A 20630-nucleotide genomic window follows, 5' to 3' on the forward strand; every position below is an offset into this window, starting at 1 on the left:
AGCCTCAGCCCAGCCCCGGGAGCTCTCCTTGTGACACCTCTCCAAGCTCCTGGTAACTTTGTAGCAAACAGCAAGGGCTCACCCACCTTCGTGGTCTTCAAACCGCACCCCAAGCTCGGGCAGGATGTTGTCCCGCAGGGCATCGCTGAGCTGCAGAATCTCAGGGACTGTAGGAGAAGCAGAGCAGTTCCCTCAGACATGGAGGAGCCAGGGCCCACACAACCAGTGCCTCCTCCAGTGCTGGGGAAGGAGGGGCCGTGGCCCACAGAACAAGTGCCTCCTCCAGTGCTCAGGAGGGAGGGGCCCCGGCCCACAGAACGAGTACCTCCTCCAGTGCTTGGGAGGGAGGGCCCAGCAGCTTGATTGGCTGCAGAAGCCCAGAGACTAGTGTCTCCCGTAAGCCCAGGGGCTGTTCTGGGGGTGCAGGGCAGAGCCAGGAGGAAGCATAGCACACTGGCCGCCGGAAGCAGTTCTTCCAGGAAAGGGACACAAGTTGGGCCGACAGCAGGGGTGGGAGGGTCAGGACAGGCCTGGGGGTCCCTTCGGGTGCTAACACTCTTCATCTGAGGCAGCCTCTCTGTTGGTGCCAGAATCAGCTTTCTTACAGAAGGACCATTTACACTCAAGCCCCAAGGACTTGGTTCCCAAATGCACACGGGACTGCGATGGGGGTCCTGACCGGCACCCAGGAGAGCTGAGTCCCAGGACCACCAAGGAGCTCGAGCTCTGTGAGAATCAGCCCTCCCAGGGCTGAAGCGCACGCAGCTGTAAAGGCGGGGCTGAGCGGTGGGGGTGGACCGCAGGTTGCTTCCCAAGACTGTGCTCACCTCTGCCTCTGACTGGGGACCTGACCCAGCTGGGAGGGTGAAAGGAGGCATGACAGGGAGGGCGACTGTGACCTCCATCACATGGGGAGGGAGCTTCGCTTGGAAACCCATGTGTCTGTGGCTGACTTCAGAGCGCAGCAGTGCAGACTTGCCCGGCATCCCACGGTTCTCCTAGTGGGCTCCTCACGCAGTCTCTAGCAGGCGCCCCCTCTGTGTCTCTGCTCTGCCCGAGTTTTCCCGTTCCCAGCCCACGCACAACGCCCAGGTAGAGAACAGGACATAAGAAGTTTTGGGTGTTACAGGGTAAATGGGATGCCAACCTATCTCAGAAAGACTCCAGAGTATCAGGTGATGTGACAGCATCTCCTAGACTACATCAACAGGACAGATGCTTGCTGCTCTCCAAGTGACAACTTTCTGCTCTGAAATCTGACCTTGGGTTTGCTGGAATCACCACACCCTTTAGTTTTCTTCTGGCCCCTCAGCTTGCTGCGCCCAACTGTGCTAGGCGGGCAGGTGCCCTGCCCCCCAGCCTGCTGGGACCCCCACCATCCCACCCCATCCTCCTGCCTGCCCTGCCTTTGGGCAGCACTGACCATGCACATGCTGCCATTCTCGTCTGTCCTTTTCCTGCTGTGTCCTCATAACTGAGACCCCTAGAGCTCCTTGCTGGGCACCCCACACCTTCATTCACTGCTAGATAAAATATTCACATATCCGGGCAGGCACGGTGGCTCATGACTGTAATCCCAGCACTTTTGGAGGCTGAGGCGGGTGGATCACAAGGTCAGGAGATCGAGACCATCCTGGCCAACATGGTGAAACCCCATCTCTACTAAAAATACAAAAACTATCTGGGTGTGGTGGCATGTGCCTGTAATCCCAGCTACTTGGGACGCTGAGGCAGAAGAATCGCTTGAACCAGGGAGTCGGAGGTTGCAGTGGGCCAAGATGACACCACTGCACTCCAGCCTAGCGACAGGGCAAGACTCCATCTCAAAAAAAAAAAAAAAAAATTGCATATCCTTGGGCTTCAAGGCCGCGCTCATAAGCACAGCCACTTTGGGCAGCTTCCGGAGTTTCAACCTCCCCAGGCAGAGACCTAGGGGAACAATGGCCTTTATATTTGTCTGCAGTATCATTCCTGGGAACAGGCCCTCCTCAGCCACCTGAGGAGCAGCTGACTGGGGCATGAGCTGAGGTAGGTGCCTGCCCTTCACTCTTTGAAAGCCACCCCTGGATAGCACCCTCATTAGAAGGAAGGCAAGCCAGCACCTGTGGTCACTGTCACGGGTGTCATGGGAGGCCACAAGGCCAGCACCCCAGCCCACCCGCCATGGGTGATCATCAGAGCAGGCACCAAGAAAGCCTCCCGGGCCACACTCCCTGGGGGAAAGGGACACACGCCGTACCCCTCAGGCCCACACCGACCTCTGGGTCTGGATTCTGAGGAGCTGAGGAAGAAGCCTCTGTGGCTTCTGTTAGCAGAGCTGGGGCAGAGGAGCAGACAATGACATCATCATCAGGGATTTACTGAAGAGAAATGTGGGCTACAAAGATAACGCAAAGGTGATGAGAATTCTTCCATGGAAGAATAGACAGATCAGGGCCCATCCATCCATGGAATATGATTTGGCCATTAAAAAGGCAGGAGGTCCTGACACAGGCTGCAACATGGATAGACCTGAGGACACCGTGATCAGCGAAATAAGCCAGACACAGGACAAACACTGTGTGACTCCACTCATGTAGGGTCCCTGGAGTAGTAAAATCCAAAGAGACAGAAGTAGAGGGTGAGCACCAGGGGCTGAGGGAGGGGATGTGGAGTTGCTGTTCCATGGGGACAGAGTTCCAGTTTGGGAAAAGGGAAGAGTTCTGGAGATGGACGGTGGCGGCTGCACAACACTGTAAATGTCCCTAATGGCACTGAGCTGTGTATTTTAACATAATGAAAACAAAACCGTGGCGATGGGGAAATGGCATCATCTCCCCAGTGCAGAGGGCCCTGGCCCAGCCCCTGGCTTTCTCACTTCAGTGCCTCTCTCCTGGTCAAACCCTGAACCCATTGCCCTCCTTGCCAGGCCTGTGCTCTCTAGCTGACTGGACCATGGGGGTATTTCCAGGGGAAACAGTTTCTTTTTCGTCTGTCTGTGGAGCATCTGGCCTGGGCCAAGCAGATCCCAGCTGATCTGAGGGCCACCCCTGAGCTTGTTATACACTCACTTTCTCTTTGGCCAGCCATGAGATGTTAACAGTGAATAACAAAACAGTCACTATTTGCTGCTGCTGGGGAGACAGGGTGATTGCACCAGAGCCACCTCTAACACGCTGCCCCGTCGGAAGGTCTGAGGCCCCTGGATCCCCAGGGTCTCTGGCTCACAAGGCACATATGGGATGATGTACAGGGTAGGGATCACCACCATCTTAACCTGGGGCCACATCACCCATCTACCTGCTCCAAGCCACAAAACAAAAGTGAAAAGCAAACAGAAAGCAAAACCGAACTACTTCCAATGCTGGCTGGCTGGTGCCACTCTCCAGGCCTGAGCAAGTCCTGTCCTGGTCAGTGCCACCGAGCGGGAGCTTGTGCCTGGCCAGTCCCCCTTTAGCGCCCTCCCGGGGCTGTGGCATGCCAGGGAAGCCAAGGCCACGTGCACAGTCTTGTATGACCCCAGGGAGCTGGGGCCCGGGCTCGGCCTTCGATGTCCCCCAGAAGGCAGGTGGAAATGCCCAGGCGACCTCCAGGAATGGTCTTCCCAAGCCCACGACCCCAGCGATGCCGCTAAGTTAGTGCTGCCAAGATTGCTGGAGAGCCCTGCGCTGGTCCTGAATAGGCTGGTCCAGGCTTGGTTCAGTTTGATTCCAGTGCTTTGAAATGCTGAGGGCATCAGGTGTTGGAAAGGGGCGATGGTGCTTATGTGGTCAGGGCAAGTGCGCCCACCGCTGCCTGTTAGGGGCTCAGTCAGGCCCAGGCCCCTCTCCAGAGCACTTGTGGCAGCCCAGCAGCCCAGCAGCCCGGCCAGCCTCTCCTCTCACCCAGTGTCCTGCACTCTCCTGCAGCCTGTGGAGCCCCGAGCTCCCGAAACTCTTTCCTGCCCTCCTGCCTCCTGCTCCACTGTCCCCTGCCCGAAACAGGCCCAGATTCGGCTCCTCCGCCTCTCGGCCCCTCCACCCACCCAGGCTTCCTGATCCTTCCTCAAGGTGCAGCTTCTCCTAGAGGCTTGCTGGGTCTCTGTCTGCTCTGTCTTCAGCATGCCCTGCCTGGATGCTGCCCCACTGTGACCCTCCATAATGGGCTCTGCACAGATGGGGACCAGGTGGATCCTAGGTCAGACTTCCCACCACACAGAGGCCCCCTGGGGAGGGAGAATTAGCACAGCAGGTGATGGAGTAGCACTCGAGGTCAGTGTGACCCGGCCAGGGCTCTCCTTTCCTCTTTTGGAGGATCATGGTGGTAAATGAGGCAATGTGCAGAAAGCAGTGGGCAGGGCCCAGCACATCCTAAGTCCTCAGTGTGTGTTCCCAGCTGTGCTGTTACTCACCAATTCAGAACCACTCACAGGAAGAAGCAAAGGCCTGCCTGATGCTGCTTTTTGCTGTGTTTAACACTTTCTTAAAACTGGCAGTCAAAACGAATGCTCAGATTCAGCACTTTCTAAGTCTTAAACCACACACATCTCAGAAATTTCAAAAGATGAAGGAATGGCCAGGCGCGGTGGCTCACGCCTGTACTCCCAGCACTTTGGGAGGCCGAGGCGGGTGGATCACGAGGTCAGGAGATCGAGACCATCCTGGCCAACACGGTGAAACCCCATCTCTGCTAAAAAAAAAAAAAATACAAAAAATTAGCCGGGCGCGGTGGCAGGCGCCTGTAGTCCCAGCTACTCAGGAGGCTGAGGCAGAAGAATGGCGTGAACCCGGGAGGCGGAGCTTGCAGTGAGCCGAGATCGCGCCACTGCACTCCAGCCTGGGAGACAGAGTGAGACTCCATCTCAAACAAACAAACAAACAAAAAGATGAAGGAATGGCTGCTTATGGACAGTGAGGGGCCACTGTGTGAACCCCAAGTTCAAGCATTCATCTGGCATGCCTGAGCAGAAAAGGGAACCCTGGAAGCTGCAGCTCGGCTCCACTCGGCAGCAGGAACGAGCCACACCTCAGCGCACCCAGCCTACCAGGTCACCAGGAACAAAAATAAGCCCCAGTGTGAGCCAAATGGCAGGTGGTGACTGGGCTGGTCAGAGGACCCACCATTCTGCCTCGGCTCAGAGAAGGAGAGGCAAATCAACCCTGGCCCATCATATCACATCCTCGGTCCCCACTGCCCACTCAGCTGCACTCACTCGAGGATTCTGCCCTGCAGGGACATGTGGGGCTGTGGTGACTGGAGCGTGTGGTACTAATGCACCTGGTGGGTCCAGGCCCGGGATGCCGTTCAACACCCTGTGGTGCACGGGGCAGCCTTCCCAGAGGATGATCCGGCCTGAACGCCATAGTGCCTCGGGGGAGACGCCCGGTCCGGGGAGCCCAGTGAGGGGAGTGGCTCCCACACTCTTTCCAGCAACTGGTCCTCACCTTTTTGCTCTCGGGCAATCTTCCGCACTCCTTCTCGGAATTCTGATAACACCTGAAGGTAGGGCATGACTGTGGCCTCGAGCTGCGGAAAGAACAGTTTTGGTTCACTGAGAGCTGCTCACACTCCCATATTCATAACAGAATAATAGCTCAGTGGCCGCGACACAGGGCAGGGACTGGCATGGGCAGTGCTGCTGTGCACACTACAGCTGTGACCGGCATCCCAGAGCCTGGACGCTCTCGTCCCTGACACACAGTCCCTGCTAGGTGTGCGAGTCACACAGACTCTCAGGCCAGAGAGCATGAAGTGAGCTTCCTTTCTACTGCAGCAGGTGGGTCTGCCGCCGCTCTGCCCAGCTGCTGACAGGCCCTGCTTTCCTCAGGTCAGACACGCTGCTGTGAAACAGCTTGTCTTTATGGTTTCAGAGGGGCCAGCTCTGGGAGGGACTATTTCCTAAGGAGCCCAAGGACATCACTCCCCAGGCTGGGGCCTTACCTATGCTGAGGCTGGCGGCTCCCGGGCCGTGCTTTCGTCTGATCTGTGGTCACACATACACTTGTTTAAGATGAATGATCTCCATTAAGCACCTACTATCTACATGCACATTAGCAGCTACACGTAGATTCACCACCCACAGTAACACTGGGGAGGTGGCCACAGGATAGAAAAACCTTTCTACTATATTTCCCTTTTTTTTTTTTTTTTTTTTTTTTAAGACGGAATCTTGCTCTGTTGCCAGGCTGGAGTGCAATGGTGTGATCTCGGCTCACTGCAACCTCAGCCTCCCAGGTTCAAGCGATTCACCTGCCTCAGCCTCCCGAGTAGCTGGGATTACAGGCAAGCGCCACCACGCCTGGCTAATTTTTGTATTTTCAGTAGAGATGAGGTTTCACCTTGTTGGCCAGGATGGTCTCAATCTCCTAACCTTGTGATCTGCCCGCCTTGGCCTCCCAAAGCATTTCCCCTTTTTTTTTTTGAGATGGAGTTTTGCTCTCATTGCCCAGACTGGCATGCAATGGCGATCTCGGCTCACCGCAACCTCCACCTTCCAGGTTCAAGCGATTCTCCTGCCTCAGCCTCCCGCGTAGCTGGGATTACAGGCATGCGCCACTACGCCCAGCTAATTTTGTATTTTTAGTAGAGACAGGGTTTCTCCATGTTGGTCAGGCTGGTCTCGAACTCCCGACCTCAGGTGATTCACCCACCTCAGCCTCCCAAAGTGCTGGGATTACAGGCGTGAGCCACCATGCTGTGCTAGCATTTCTCTTTTTCTAATAGGACAGAAAAGGTTTTAGGCTTTTGAGCAAGGTTGCTCCCTGCCCCTTAGCTGATTCAGCAGCTCAGTAACCAAAATAAAAACATTAGCAAGTGCTGGCTGGGCGCGGTGACTCACAACTGTAATCCCAGCACTTTGGGAGGGCGAAGTGGGTGGATCATGAGGTCAGGAGTTCAAGACTAGCCTGGCCAACATAGTGAAACCCCCGTCTCTACTAAAATACAAAAAAAAATTAGCCGGGCATGGTGGTGCATGCCTGTAGTCCCAGCTACTCAGGAGGCTGAGGCAGGAGAATCACTTGAACTCGGGAGGCAGAGGGTGCAGTGACCGGAGATTGCGCTACTGCACTCCAGCTGTGGAAAGAAGAGTTTTTGTTCGCTGAGAGCTGCTCACACTCCTATATCCATAACTGAATAATAGCTCAGCGGCCACGACACAGGGCAGGGACTGGCATGGGCGACAGAGTGAGACTCTGTCTCAAAAACAGAAACACACAAATTTAGCAAGTGCAAAAGTCAGGCAGGCTAGCAAGCCCTTAAGTCTAAGCCAAGCTCCCTGAGACCCAATTCTGCATCTGAACTTTGGACTTCTTGGGGGTTTTCGATCTGTATCTCCACCCACCACACAGCCAGCCCAGACAAGCCTTGGGGAAGGACAGAAAGGGAGGCATTCACCCCACTGCTAGGCTCAGTTCCAGCCCTAGGGGCACTGGAGGGGAACTCTCAGAATGGCTGCAGGGGTGTGTCTCAAGAACGCCTGGGGCTGCAACCCCCACCTGAGCATGCTAGCAGGTGGCTGTGTGGCGACACTGAGGTGGTACAAGATGGAGGAACTGCCTCCCTTGCTCCTAAAACCATTTGGATTTGGAAGTTAATCCATGAACGTCAAATGGCCATGATGTGTGGGCACAGGACGTTTTGTCAGCAGGCTCACCATTCGCCGCAGCTGCTTCTTCGCAATCAGCTGACTGCAAAGGCCAAATGAGGCTGCCTGGGGGATGCGGATGCGTGTCCACAGCACGCTGAAGGCACCCCCACAACCACAGCAGCCGTTAAGATGAAAAACACTGCAGTTCAAAGGCAGGCTGACTTTAACCCAGGAGGTGTGTTTTGGTTTTTTGTTTTTAAAGAAAATAAATATCTTAGTATCATTTGCGCAAGAGAACAAAGAAGCTATGTGGGTTTTCTTAAAAGCACCAAAGAAGGTTCATATCAGGAAGTCTCAAAAATACCACACCAACTACCACAACCAAGCTAGCTAGCGCTAAGGCTGGCAAAAGGCACCAGGCACATGGGCTAGGTGCTCTGGCAGGACTTCTTACAACACGGACTGTTTTCTCTTTGCAAGTTGGTTCCTGGGGGAGCATCTGTAAGCTCCATCCGCATGGGGGCTCTTCACACCACTTGTCATTAGGAAACAGGATTTTAAAAAGGTTTTGCATTTTGACTTTGTATTAAGCTCCTGTTTTAATTAAAATTACAGTTGTTCTATTTAAATATTTAGATCTGCATTCTAATCGAATAGTCAAAGAGCATTCTTGACCTGGGAGCAGGTGGAAGTCCATCTTTAAGAAGCCTGACTGTGGGTGTGTCAGACGGGACAGGGGTTCTACAGCAGAAGGACAGGACTGACAGTGTGTGTCTGCTCACATGCCAACTGCAAACAGAAGCCAGCAACAGACTGCCAGGGTGTTCTGGATGGATTTTCTCACCGCACAGACCCACTAGACAGGGGGCTCTACAGGATGACCTCCCCCTGACCTGTGGGCCACAGCTCTGGGGCAGGGGGTCCTGGCTCAGGCCATGTGGACCGACCTGGGCTCAGGGTCAGGACTGGGCCTGTTAGGGCATCTGCCCAGCCCCATGGGGACCGAGGCAGACAGTGGCGTATCTCCCCATCAGTGTAAATTCTGTGCTGTTTGTGAGCTCTGCAGCCTTTCGATGAAGCATTTACTGAATACAGGTCAGTATATGTGACGAAGTCATGTGTGTTCATGATGCCAAGTGGCCGCAGCAAAATGCAAATAAGCAGCGGCCTATGTAGTTGGGGTCCAAGACCAAGCTCATGGGACAGCACAATGGCAAAGTGCCCCAAACCAACAGTCACAACCAAAGCAGACCCTCCACACCGGCAGGGCAGCTGACCACACTTAGCACTCTCAGAGCCAGAATTGCCATTTAGCTCGAGGCGCTGTCCGGAAGGGTCTGGTGTGGGTGGGCAGACAGAGGAGGGGCAGTTCAGAGGGACACAGAGGGGTAGGGAGTGGGGAGGGAGCAGGTGCAGAAGGCAGGACCCTGCATGCTACTCACACTGAGGCTGGTTCCAGGCCCTCCGACCGGGAATCCCAGGGAGCTGTCCTCTTCTACGGCCCCAAAGATCTAGGAAAAGAAACAGATGGGACCTGAAGCTGCGGCAAGATGAAGGCGGCATGTGGCGAGCAGCTGTGAGCTGTGTTCCTCGTTCACGGGAGGGGGTGCCCCAAGACCAGGAAAGAGATGGAAGCAGCAGCTCCAGGAGCCCCAGAAACCCGAGCCTGAGGGTGCCCTCATTGCTCCAGGATGGCCCTGACTCACAGCTACCCTCTCCAGCTCTGTTTCAGCCAGAAGCCACTGGAGCCCAACAACAAGGAAAGAGGAGGAGAGGGGAGGGGAGTTGAGTCCAGGCCCTGCTGGCCTTTCAAGGTGCACTGCGGGGAAGGGCTCTGCACAGGATGTGTTCAGAGAGGAGGCCTTGTCCCTGGTTTTGCTTCTCTTTTTTTTTTTTTTTTGAGATGGAATCTCACTCTGTCGCCCAGGCTGGAGTGCAATGGCGCAATCTTGGCTCACTGCAAGCTCTGCCTCCTGGGTTCATGCCATTCTCCTGCCTCAGCCTCCCGAGTAGCTGGAACTACAGGAACCCGCCACCATGCCTGGCTAGTTTTTTGTATTTTTTTTAGTAGAGACGGGGTTTCACCGTGTTAGTCAGGATGGTCTCCATCTCCTGACCTTGTGATCCGCCCGCCTTGGCCTCCCAAAGTGCTGGGATTACAGGCGTGAGCCACAGCGCCTGGCGTGGTTTTGCTTTTCAAACTCCAAGATGGGAGTAGAGGGAAACGGAGTCAAAGGAAAGAAATAGCTCTGAGTAAGGACAACTATATGGATGTTACTTATTTTTGTCTGGTTTTGAGACAGGGTCTCCCCTCTATTGCCCAGAGTGGAGTGCAGTAGTGCAATCACACCTCACTATTCAACCTCCTGGGCTCAAGCGAGCCCCTCACCTCAGCCTCCCAAGCAGCTGGAAAACAGGTGTGTGCCACCACACCTGGCTAATTTTTAATATATTTTATAGACCCGGGATCTCACTATGTTGTCCAGGCTGGTTTTGAACTCCTGGGCTCAGGTGATACACTCACCTGGCCTCCCACAGTGTTGGATTATAGATGTGAGCCACTGTGCTCCGCTTATGGGTGTTATTTCTAACGCGTGAAAAGCACACCAGGAACCAAAGAGGACAGAAGCATATCTCCACGTCTCAGAGGTGCTGGGCACCAGGCACAGCACTGGGGGGCACCAGAGGCCTCTGTTCTCCCAGTCCTGGGGCCTGGCTCCTGTGTCCACACAGGCTGAGGGATACGCCTGCCTGGGGCCTGGCTTACCTTCAGCATATGGGTGAGGTACAGGGCGATGTTCTCCAGCAGAGCCTGGTTGGGCCTCTTCCTCACGGCTTTCCGGGCTGCCATATAGAGGTTGCACTGACTGACCAAGGCCCGCATCTCTTCCATGACGGTGCGGGTGTCAACATTGTCACAGAGGGCTTTGTGAATTGCTGTCTTCTTGTCATAAAAGCTGAGCAACAAAGAGGAAGGAATGTGAAGTCAGACCTGAAAACACACCATAGAAATTCCCCATGTGGCCAGGCGCAGTGGCTCACGCCTATAATCCCAGCACTTTGGGAGGCTGAGGTGGGCGGATCACCTGAGGTCGGGAGTTCGAGACCAGCCTGACAAACATGGAGAGACCCCCACCTCTACTAAAAATCTGAAATTAGCCAGGTATGGTGGCGCATGCCTGTAACCCCAGCTACTCGGGAGGCTGAGGCAGGAGAATCGCTCGAACCCGGGAGGTGGAGGTTGTGGTGAGCCGAGATCACGCCACTGCACTCCAGCCTGGGCAACAAGGGCGAAACTCCGTCTCAAAAAGAAAAAACAAAAAAGAAATTCTCCATGCACTTCAACACCCAGAGCAGCTCCCATTAGCAGAGCCGCCTATCCTGAATTAATTCTGCACAACGTACGACAGTGTCCCCAGCCCTTCCTCGACAGTCCAGGACACATGGTGGCCAAGATGCGAGGCTAGGCATAGAACATGGGCATGCTCAAAAACCCCAAAGAAATGGCACCACCTTACTTCTTATTCAGTTCTGCTTCTTCTTCTCCCCACTTCTCAAACTGACCAGTGATGTCAACAGGAGCGCGAAGGATATCTTTCACATTTAAGAAAAACTCCTGAAGTTAGAAAAATCAGTTTAACAGCATTTAGGCAACTTTTCCATCCTGAAATATCTGTTACAACTTTCTACTGCTGTGATTTTATTTTTGGTAAAAATCTGAAAGACCAGAATTACACAAGTGGTCAGAAAGAAAGGAAAAGATATTTCTTTGACAGAAACATGCTCTTGCTTTAGGTTTACAGATGCTCATTTGGTGGAAAGTACAAGTCAGAAGGACGTGCACTGCAGTGACTAGGAGGACGAGGCCTCTGTCCACTCTGCTGAGCCGTCAGCCATTTCAGGAGTGGCCCCGAGCCTGTTATACCCACTAGCATGGAGGTGCTTCCACCCATGTGCTGGTCTCCATTAGAGACATCGGGAGGCTGGTGCACCTATCACCACTGCACAAGGTGCCCACTGTGCAGGGGAGGCTGCTCCACCAACCTCCAGGAAGGGGCTGGGGACTCACATTCAAGAACTTCTCATATTGAAGCGCTGACTCCATGGTGTTGCTGGAGTAGTCCAGGGTGTCCTTCCACGAGTGCATGAGGAAGGCCAGCCGCAACTGCCGTGCTGTGGGGGGACACAAGACAGCCAACGCCCTTATTCTCCCGAGTGCTACAGCCATTACACATGTATGAGAAGGTGGTTGGGGGGTCTGTGGGAGAAGCCAGTGTATACCTGAGTGCTTTTTCAAGGCATCTTTAATGGTGATGAAGTTTTTTAGTGACTTTGACATTTTGCAGCCTGCAATGGTCAGGTGGCCTGTGTGCAGGAAGTACCTGACCCAGCAGTCGTTTTCAAAGTAGGCCTGCGTGGAAAGAGACAAAGGATGTCAACAGTCATGTGTTACTGGGGCCGCCTCCTGCCACCTGCACTGTCTGCTGCCTTGTTGGTGCTGTCCACAGGCAGGAGCTGCGTTTTCCAGGTGGTGCAGGCAGGGCTTGGAAGGACAGCCCAGGTTAATAAGCCAGCAGGTAACACAACTGGTTCAAATCCAGGCTAGTCTGTTGCCAAAGGCCAGGCTGTCAATGCGGAAACCACACTAAATGATCAGGGTTCAGATTCCACCCACAAGCCCCGATGAAGGTGTCAAGTTCTAGTGAGAGAGGCCCTTCTGAGGCCTGGGCTGACTTTTCCTCCACTGCAGTATGAACACTGTGCTCTTGCACCTGACAAGGGGACTCTGTTTTCACCTACCTCCGACTGTGCCAGCTCATTGTCATGGTGGGGGAACCGGAGGTCGAACCCACCTCCGTGAATGTCCATCGAAGCCCCTAGGAGGGTGCCTGCCATGGCCGAGCACTCGATATGCCAGCCCGGACGACCCTGGAGAAAGCCGAACACACAGTGACTGACCAGCCTACCCGCTTGTCCAGGCCTTTATCACTTATCACTCCAAGTTGATGGCCCTTACATCCTCTGAACTTTATTGGAACAAGCGTTAAATCCCGCACATGAAAAGACTAAGGGAAGGCTGGGCGAGATGGCTCACACCTGTAATCCCAGCACTTTGCGATGCCGAGGCAGACGGATCACCAGGTCAGGAGTTCAAGACCAGCCTGGCCAACATGGTGAAACCCCGTCTCTACTAAAAATACAAAAAAATACAAAAATTAGCTGAGCATGGTGACGTATGCCTGTAATCCCAGCTACTCAGGAGGCTGAGGCAGGAGAATTGCTTGAACCGGGACTAGGAGGCAGAGGTTGCAGTGAGCTGAGATCGCGCCACTGCACTCCAGCCTGGTGACAGAGTGACACTCTGTCTCAAAAAAAAAAAAAAGACTAAGGATAGCCTTCTTTGGTGAAGTTCATAAACCGGTCCTATGTGGGCCGAGGTTTAGGTGAAGTTACTGAATTACATCCAGACCTCTGAGCCCTTGACAGCTGCAGATGGTCACGCCCCTTCCTAGGGTACCCTGCAGTCAACAACTCCTGTCACCGGGAAGATCAGAACGCATCCTACACCCTGGGGCCTGGAATACTCAGAGTCACAGAACACAAGAACCAAGAAGCCTCCATGGACGTCTACTCTGATCACATCTCCACTTACAGACCAGAAAACAGAAATCCCAGGAGGGAAGTGATTTGTCCAGAGACTCAGGGAGTCTCCATGATGTCCAGGTCCCCGGGGCCAGGCAGCCTGTGCTGCACCAGCACCAGGCTCTGGCCCAGTGACAACATCCTTCACACACAGAGCGGCCCTCTGCTGGGGGCCTGAGAGTGTGGCTGGCGCCAGTGCCCCTGTCCAAGCCCCACACCTTCTAGGCCACTCGCTCACCTTTCCCCAAGGGCACGGCCAGGACGGTTCTCCGGGCTTAGAGGCCTTCCATAAGGCAAAGTCGTTGGGAGAGCGCTTCTCACTCAGGCGGTCTGCAGAGATGCTCAGGTCACCTGCAAACACGAGGGACGCCAGGCAAGGTCACTCAGCAGCACCCACAGACCCACATGTCTCACTTCAAGGCCATCCACGGTGCCTAATGGGCAGTCCTTCTGACTAACTTCTGTTTATTAACTTGGCTCAAGCATTTCTTCAAGTTAACTATGTATTACCAGATTCTGGTGTTGACCCAGTGTCTAGATTTACAAAACGGTACATAATCCCCAAAGTCACCAGCTTATATACCTGGCTGACTTGAGGCCACATCTGGGGTCTCCGTAAGACATTCACCTTCCTGCTGCCTTCTCACAGCATTAGCCCACCAGTGTCTAGGACAAGTGATAAGAACCCTGGGCTAAAGCTAGGAGGTGACATAGTGGTGCAGCCACTGGGGCATGGCTCAGGGATCCTGCCTGGTTCATGCGGGTGGGGTCAATATGTCAAGGGCCCGCACAACTATCTGCTTATGGGTCCCGGGGGATACAAGGATGCAGCTAAGCTGCTGTGTACTACTGCAGGGAACCTGGTGGCAGTGCAGTGGTGAAGGGGACATTTGCTGTTCCTGTGTATTTATAAGGGGAAAATAGGTGAAGGAAACTAAAGAATAGTCCAGGAAGGCCATAAGAAAAGGGGAGTACTGCTCTTGGCACAAGTTCTATTTCCTGGACAAAGCCAATGATCACCTGGCCAACAAAAACAAGACTGTCTATGCCTTGCCAGAGGGATGAGAAATAACCCCTTGGTGAATTCCATGCATTGACTCGGTGACACTCAGCCACCTGACACTCAGGGTACAAGGCGGTCTGAGTCCCCAGAAAAGGAATGCACCATCACTGCAGATTTCTCTCAACAATACATGCAGGACCAATGGAAAAGATTAGCTGCTGTGAATAAAGAAACCTGTGAGCCAGTCCAAAGGTCACGCAGAGAATCACCCTTTGTTCGATGAATGGGCAGAGCAGAGGTCTTCACTCTAGGCATAAGGTTACCAGGACCCACGCCAGGTCTTGCCCGGCTGCTGCAGCCTTTCCTGGTCCCTGGTCTAAGGGCTGCCTTAGGTGCTGTCACCCCCTTGTGGAGGAAGAACAGACTCCATCTAGGGTTCTAACTCAGGTGACCCTGAAGAAGCTGCAGTGAGATCTTTCCAGGTGACAAATCCACTTTTCAGGAGCCTAATCAGGCAACAGACCTAAGCTGCCCTGAGAAACAGAGTCCAGAGGAAAAGCACCGCTAAATATATTTTTCTAAACACCAAGTTCATGATTATAAAATATGTACTAAATGTAGAATATTTGAAAGATAAAAAAAGAAAACTAGGAAAAAAATTGCCATTATCTTTTAACCTAGGAATTACTACTGTTACCATTTTGGTATACTGATTCCCAGATTAAAAAACAAACACACAAAAACACAAAAAACCTCTGCAAGCAAAATCCAGATCTATCCACCAACACGGAAGGCCGCTGTCCTGGCTTCCTTCTACCTCCGCACTGTTCTGCCACTGACAATTCCGCAAAAGCACAATGTGATATGGCCCATGACATTCGCTTTTAGATGCTCTTTGATAGAAAATATACATTCACGTTTTCAACTTTTCATTATTATGAACTTACTCATGAAAGTTTATATCTGATTTTTTAAAAATACGCTTTGAAAAAATTGATAACAGAGAACACAGGACCCTCCCCACAAACACCCTATCCTTCAGCAAACATCACACTGCAACTGCCCTCATAGGGTTAATGAGAATTCCAAGGCAGGCTATAGGCAGAATGATGAGGCCGGTCACTGGCCAGGTGCAGTGCACGTCCATCCGCTTCCCTGCAGCTCTAACTGAGAGTCACATAGCACGCTGACCACCTGCTCCACCACTGTTCCTAGCGATAGAATCTCTAACCCTGGACCTTTTTACCAAGAACTGCTTAAGGTATTTTTTGGATCCTGAATTCCAGCAGGACAGCTGTTGCCAACTGGTCTGAAGACCTGCACCAAGGAACTGACTCGTCGCAGAAATGTGGTTTACCTCCCTGTCCCATGACTTCGCCCCTCACTTCCCCAGCAACCGGCAATCCCCATCACCTGTCCAGAGCAATTAAAAACCCCTCCCCAAATCTCAGGGAGGCGGATCTGAGGTTTCCTCCCATCTCCATTTGTCCACCATACAATTACTACGCTTCTTCTACGGCAACCCCTGGTATCCCGGTATACTGACTCGCTGTGCATTGGGCAACAGACCTATTATGGTTACAACACAATGTCTTTCAAGTTTTCCTTCTTGGTTTCATTTCCTGTCTCTCTCCCCAGAGGCAGAGTGAGTGTTTCTAGCTTTGACCCTACAAGCATGTTCATACCAGCACAACAGGGTCCTGTTCTCTCCCACTGGGGGAGCTTCCTCCCTGCACTAGGCCTTCCTGCCACGTGCCTTCCCGAGTGGTCTGCATGGCCCATCTGCCTCTGGTGGGTCATCTTACTTGGCGGAGTGAGGAGCTGTCATCATCTAGGACCACTTGGGCCCCAGCATCACCCCTCCCCTTTTCCTCTACCATTAGAGTCCCCATGGCGAGGAGCACATGACTGCACAGAGCTAAGGCTACACTCCTTATGACTCCCCATGGTGGGGGGAGGTTGCGGGGGTGGTCATGTGCCCACGTCTGATCACTGACTGTGGAGGGGTGGAAATCCATGTCCCTCTTTGGTCCTGCATATTGGCTGTTAGATTCTACTCCTGTTTCCTGGAACTTAAACCAATGCTGAAGTCATTCTGGAAGAAAATGGGCCCAAGAATAAATGGTATTTAAGAAAAAGACCCTAGATGGGGCCAGATAGCAAAATTCATCATAAAGTGGTGAGTCAGTGTGCTCTAGCTGCCTCCAGAACATTCCTTCACCACGTGACCTGAGGGCACTGCTCCACTTACCACTCCCACCTTTCCCATGTGCTGCCAGTTCCCTCCCGGCATCTAAGTGTCAAATGCAGTGCGAGTTGTTCACGGCTTCCTCTAAGGACTTTAAGAAATGCTCTACTATATCCATAGTTACATTCCATTTTTGTCTTGTTATTCAAACATACATACATACATACATACATTCAAACACACACACAGGATCTTGCTGTCAGCCAGGCTGGAGTGCAACGGTGTAATCACAGCTCACTACAGCCTCGACCTCCCTGGCTCAAGCAACCCTCTTACCTCAGCCTTCTGAGTAACTGGGACTACAGGTGCATGCTACCACACTCAGCTAATTTTTAAAATTTTTGTAGAGATGCGGTCTCACTACATTGCCCACGATGGTCTTGAATTCCTGGCCTCAAGCGATCCTCCTGCCTCGGCCTCCCAAAGTGCTGAATTATAGGCATGAGCTATAATTCAGCCCTAATATGTTTTTCAATCTTCTACTTTTATTAATCAAACTTGCTAAGGGTTCTTCTATATTATTTTTTGAGAAGAATCAGCTTTTGGCTTTTACAATTGTTTCTGTTTCTTTAATCTCTGATTTTACTTTATTTCCTCCTATTTCTTTCTACTTCTTCTTGTTCCTTTCCCAGCTTTTTGACTGACTGCTTAGCTCACTTATTTCCTTTTTTTTTGTTTGAGATGGACTCTTGCTCTGTCACCCAGGTTGGAGTGCAGTGGCACGCTCTCAGCTCACTGCAACCTCCGCCTCCAGGGTTCAAGCGATTCTTCTGCCTCAGCCTCCCGAGTAGCTGGGACTACAGGCATGCGCCACCACACCCGGCTAATTTTTGTATTTTTAGTAGAGATGGGGTTTCACCACATTGGCCAGGCTGGTCTCGAACTCCTGACCTCGTGATCCGCCTGCCTTGGCCTCCCAAAGTGCTGGGATTACAGGCGTGAGCCACTGCACCCGGCACCTCACTTATTTTCCATCTTTGTTTTTTAATAACTACATTTAAAAACATCAGTTTCCTCTAATTGGTGCTTTAGGGGCATTCTCCAGATTTGGTGTGTGGCACCTTTGCTGCTGTTCTGCTTAAACACCCCTGATTTCCCACTGTGGTTTTCTTTCCTAGGAGTTATCCAGGAGCATGATTTCAACCCCCCAGACAAGTTTGTACATTTTAGACGTCCGTCCTGTCAGTGTTGGTATCTTTTTTATTTTAAAAAAAAAATTTTTTTAATGTCTTTGAGACAGAGTCTTGCTCTGTTGCCCAGGCTGGAGTGCAATGGCACAATCAGGGCTCACTGCAGCCTTGACTTCTTGGGCTGAAGTGATCCTCCTGCATCAGCCTCTTAAGTAGCTGGGACTATAGGCACGTGCCACCACACCCAGCTCATTTTTAAATTTTTTGTAGAAAGGGGGTCTCCCTATGTTGCCCAGGTTGGTCTGGAACTCCTGGGCTCAAGCGATCCTCCTGCCTCGGCCTCCCAAAGTGCTGGGATTACAGGTGTGGGTCGCCATGTCTGGCCAAGTGTTGTTATCTAATACAATCGCTCCATGGTGACAGAATGAGGGCTCCTTGACAGAATGAGGGTTCCTTGAAAACGGTTCTTTGAGATTTGTGGAAATCTTTCTGTGGCCTGGCATATGTTTCTGTGTTCTTGGAAGGAAAGGATGTTCTTTAATTCCTGAGTGCAAAGTTCCCAGCTCTCAAACCAAGCCTGTTAACTGTATTTCAAACCTTTCATATCCGTATTAATTCTTGGCCTACTTGATCTGTCAACTCCTGGGAAGTGCATGAAACGTGGGCATGTCCACTCTGGTTCTAGGGTAGTGAAGCCTTCTGGTCCAGAGGCCCAGGCTGCATCCTCTCAGAGCTGAGGCGCTTCATCATCACAAACCCGCCCCTCTACTCCCACAAACCCGGAGCCTGAAATGCCATGGGTCTGATATTTATGTGTCAACCTGGCTATCTCTATCTTTCTTCAGTCTGTGTTGTCTGGTTTTATTTTATTATATATTTTTTTGAGACAGAGTCTCATTCTGTCACCCAGGCTGGAGTGCAGTGGCACAATCTTGGCTCACTATAACCTCTGCCTCCTGGGTTCAAGTGATTCTCATGCCTCAGCCTCCTGAGTAGCTGGGATTACAGGCAAGCACCACCACACCTGGCTAATTTGTGTATTTTTAGTAGAGATGGGGTTTCGCCATGTTGGCCAGGCTGGTCTCGAACTCCCAACCTCAGGTGATCCACCCACCTCGGCCTCCAAAAGTGCTGGGATTATAGGCGTGAGCCACCGCACCTTTATTTTAGGTTCTGATATTTCTTTAGAATAGAGCCTAAAATTAGATAAAAGTATGAACATTTTTATGGCCAAATTGTCTTCCAGAAACACTAGGACAGGCGGGGTGGGGGTGCAGAACGTGCCCTGGCACATTGCGGGAATCCCCACTCTGCAGGGAGGCTTCCAACCTTGCCTCTTGTGGATGTGTCCCCAGATTCACTTAAGGGATAAACATGAAGAAAACACCAACGAAAGGGTTCCCAATATAATTCTGCCTGGTCTAGAAAAAGTCTGATATCTGTGTTTGAAGCATTTGGATCCAGATGGGCGCACAGGCTGTTGTCAAATATGCATCACTCGGCACACATCCCAGCACCCCACAATCCCCCTAAACCTCACATGCTCAGCCAGCAAACACCAGCCCTGTGAATCCAGGCCCCAGGGGCCACTATGTTTCTCAAGACAGCACTGCGTTTACTGTCTTTTGTTTCTTAAAAAATAACACACCATAAAAAAATGACATCTTGTCTTTTACAGCAACATGGATGGAACTGGAAGACATTCTGTTAAGTGAAATAAACCAGGCAGAGAAAGACAAATATCACATGTCCTCTCTCTTATGTGGGAGCTAAAAAACGGTGGACCTCAAGGAGGTGCAGCATAGAACAGTGGTCACCAGAAGCTGAGAAGAGTCAGGTCAGGGGCAGTGAGTGGAGAGAGGTTGGTTTCTAGGCACAAACACACAGACAGAAAGAATAGGTTCTTGTGGTCACTAGCACAGTAGGGTGACTATAGTTACCAAAACATTTGTTGTATATTTCAACATAGCCAGAAGATCTGGAACATTCCCAATGCAAAGAAAAGGTAAACGTCTAAGGTGACGAGCATCCTAACTACCCCGATCATCACACACGGTGTGCATGTATTAAGACATCACATGTTCCCCATAAATTGCATAATTATTATATATCCATTAAAAAAACACATGTCATGGTCTTAGAGCTGCACAATGTTGAGTGCAGAAAACTCCTAAAATTCCTTCAGGTGAAAAAGCACTGTTCCCAAGAGTCTGAGGGGTGGGCTCAGCGCAGCCCCCGTGGCCTGCAAAGTCAACACAACCCAGGCTGGGCCAGGAGGGAGAGCCCACATGCTCTCAGGCATGCCCTCCTCACCTTCCCCTTCTTGAAGGGCTTTCTGATCTCCAACGGCCTCAGGCACCAGCTTCCCATAGGAGTGCTTCTCGCTAGAAGCAAACTTCGCTGTATCAAAGTAGACAGACCCATTGGAGACATAGCTGGAAAACAGAAAAGGAATTGGGTGGGTGCATCTAACAGACCCGAAAGTGTGTCAGCAGGATGACAGTAACAAAATAAAGCAGGGCTATAAAAGTGCGAAATCTGTGGCCTATCTACTCTCTGTGGTGGCCACTGAAAACCGTATCAGCTGTTTGGACTGAGTGGGACACCAGGGCCCATCCCGCTGCGGAGGCAGCCTGCCTGCCCTGGGCAGCTCGTCCCTCTGCCTGGCGTCCTGTGACCCATGCAGCTCCCACCCTGCCTTGCTCAGGGCTGCTGCCGTCCTCATTCTTGTGTGGCCTCACCTTTCCCTGAATGTCCACACTCTACCCATTAGCTTAGCTGAGGCTCTTGGCCTCCAAGAAGCACTCTAGATTACTCCAGTCTGGAATGACCTGTCCTCTCTGAGCTTCGGCTTGCCCATGCCTCTCGGCTTGGCACAGGCTCTTATGCTGCCCCACAGTAGTTTGTGTGAAGTGGGGAGAGAAGCAGCGCTACTGCTTAAGAGTCTGCCCCGTTCCTGGCACTGTCACAACCTCTTGTTTCTCTTTCATCCAGCCTGTGTGGTTCCTGTGGGAGGGAAGCAATCTGAGGCTGGACACAGTGGGTCTCTGGGAGCAGGCG

General features: G+C 52.2%; 1 protein-coding gene across 16 annotated transcripts in view, besides 1 other annotated feature; it reads right to left on the reverse strand.

Annotated features, from left to right (window-relative positions):
* The window catches only part of CARS1 (cysteinyl-tRNA synthetase 1), a 56495-nt gene that overhangs the window by 5864 nt on the left and 30001 nt on the right, over window positions 1-20630 (reverse strand). For 15 of the 16 annotated variants that reach the window (NR_165430.1, NR_165429.1, NR_036542.2 and 12 more), the window contains 10 exons: window positions 19884-20005; window positions 13428-13540; window positions 12347-12475; window positions 11828-11957; window positions 11616-11719; window positions 11065-11162; window positions 10314-10503; window positions 8989-9057; window positions 5403-5484; window positions 87-167 (listed from right to left, as the gene is read on the reverse strand). Coding sequence is in view for 12 of the 16 variants with exons in the window: in NM_001751.6 (NP_001742.1) it covers window positions 87-167; window positions 5403-5484; window positions 8989-9057; window positions 10314-10503; window positions 11065-11162; window positions 11616-11719; window positions 11828-11957; window positions 12347-12475; window positions 13428-13540; window positions 19884-20005 (1118 nt within the window). In the remaining 4 variants the exon portion in view is untranslated. Of the gene's footprint in view, window positions 1-86; window positions 168-5402; window positions 5485-8988; window positions 9058-10313; window positions 10504-11063; window positions 11163-11615; window positions 11749-11827; window positions 11958-12346; window positions 12476-13427; window positions 13541-19883; window positions 20006-20630 lie in introns of those variants that run through there. The other variant, XM_047427674.1, reaches the window with a different exon arrangement.
* Window positions 7623-8122: an enhancer, noted in NCBI's record as "H3K4me1 hESC enhancer chr11:3035645-3036144 (GRCh37/hg19 assembly coordinates)". NCBI's record gives its function as "activates a minimal SCP1, AML or CMV promoter by ChIP-STARR-seq in naive H9 embryonic stem cells {active_cell/tissue: H9 hESC(naive)}" and the evidence as "EXISTENCE:reporter gene assay evidence [ECO:0000049][PMID:30033119]".

Source organism: Homo sapiens, chromosome 11 (genome assembly GCF_000001405.40).
Source record: "Homo sapiens chromosome 11, GRCh38.p14 Primary Assembly".
Taxonomy (NCBI): domain Eukaryota; kingdom Metazoa; phylum Chordata; class Mammalia; order Primates; family Hominidae; genus Homo; species Homo sapiens.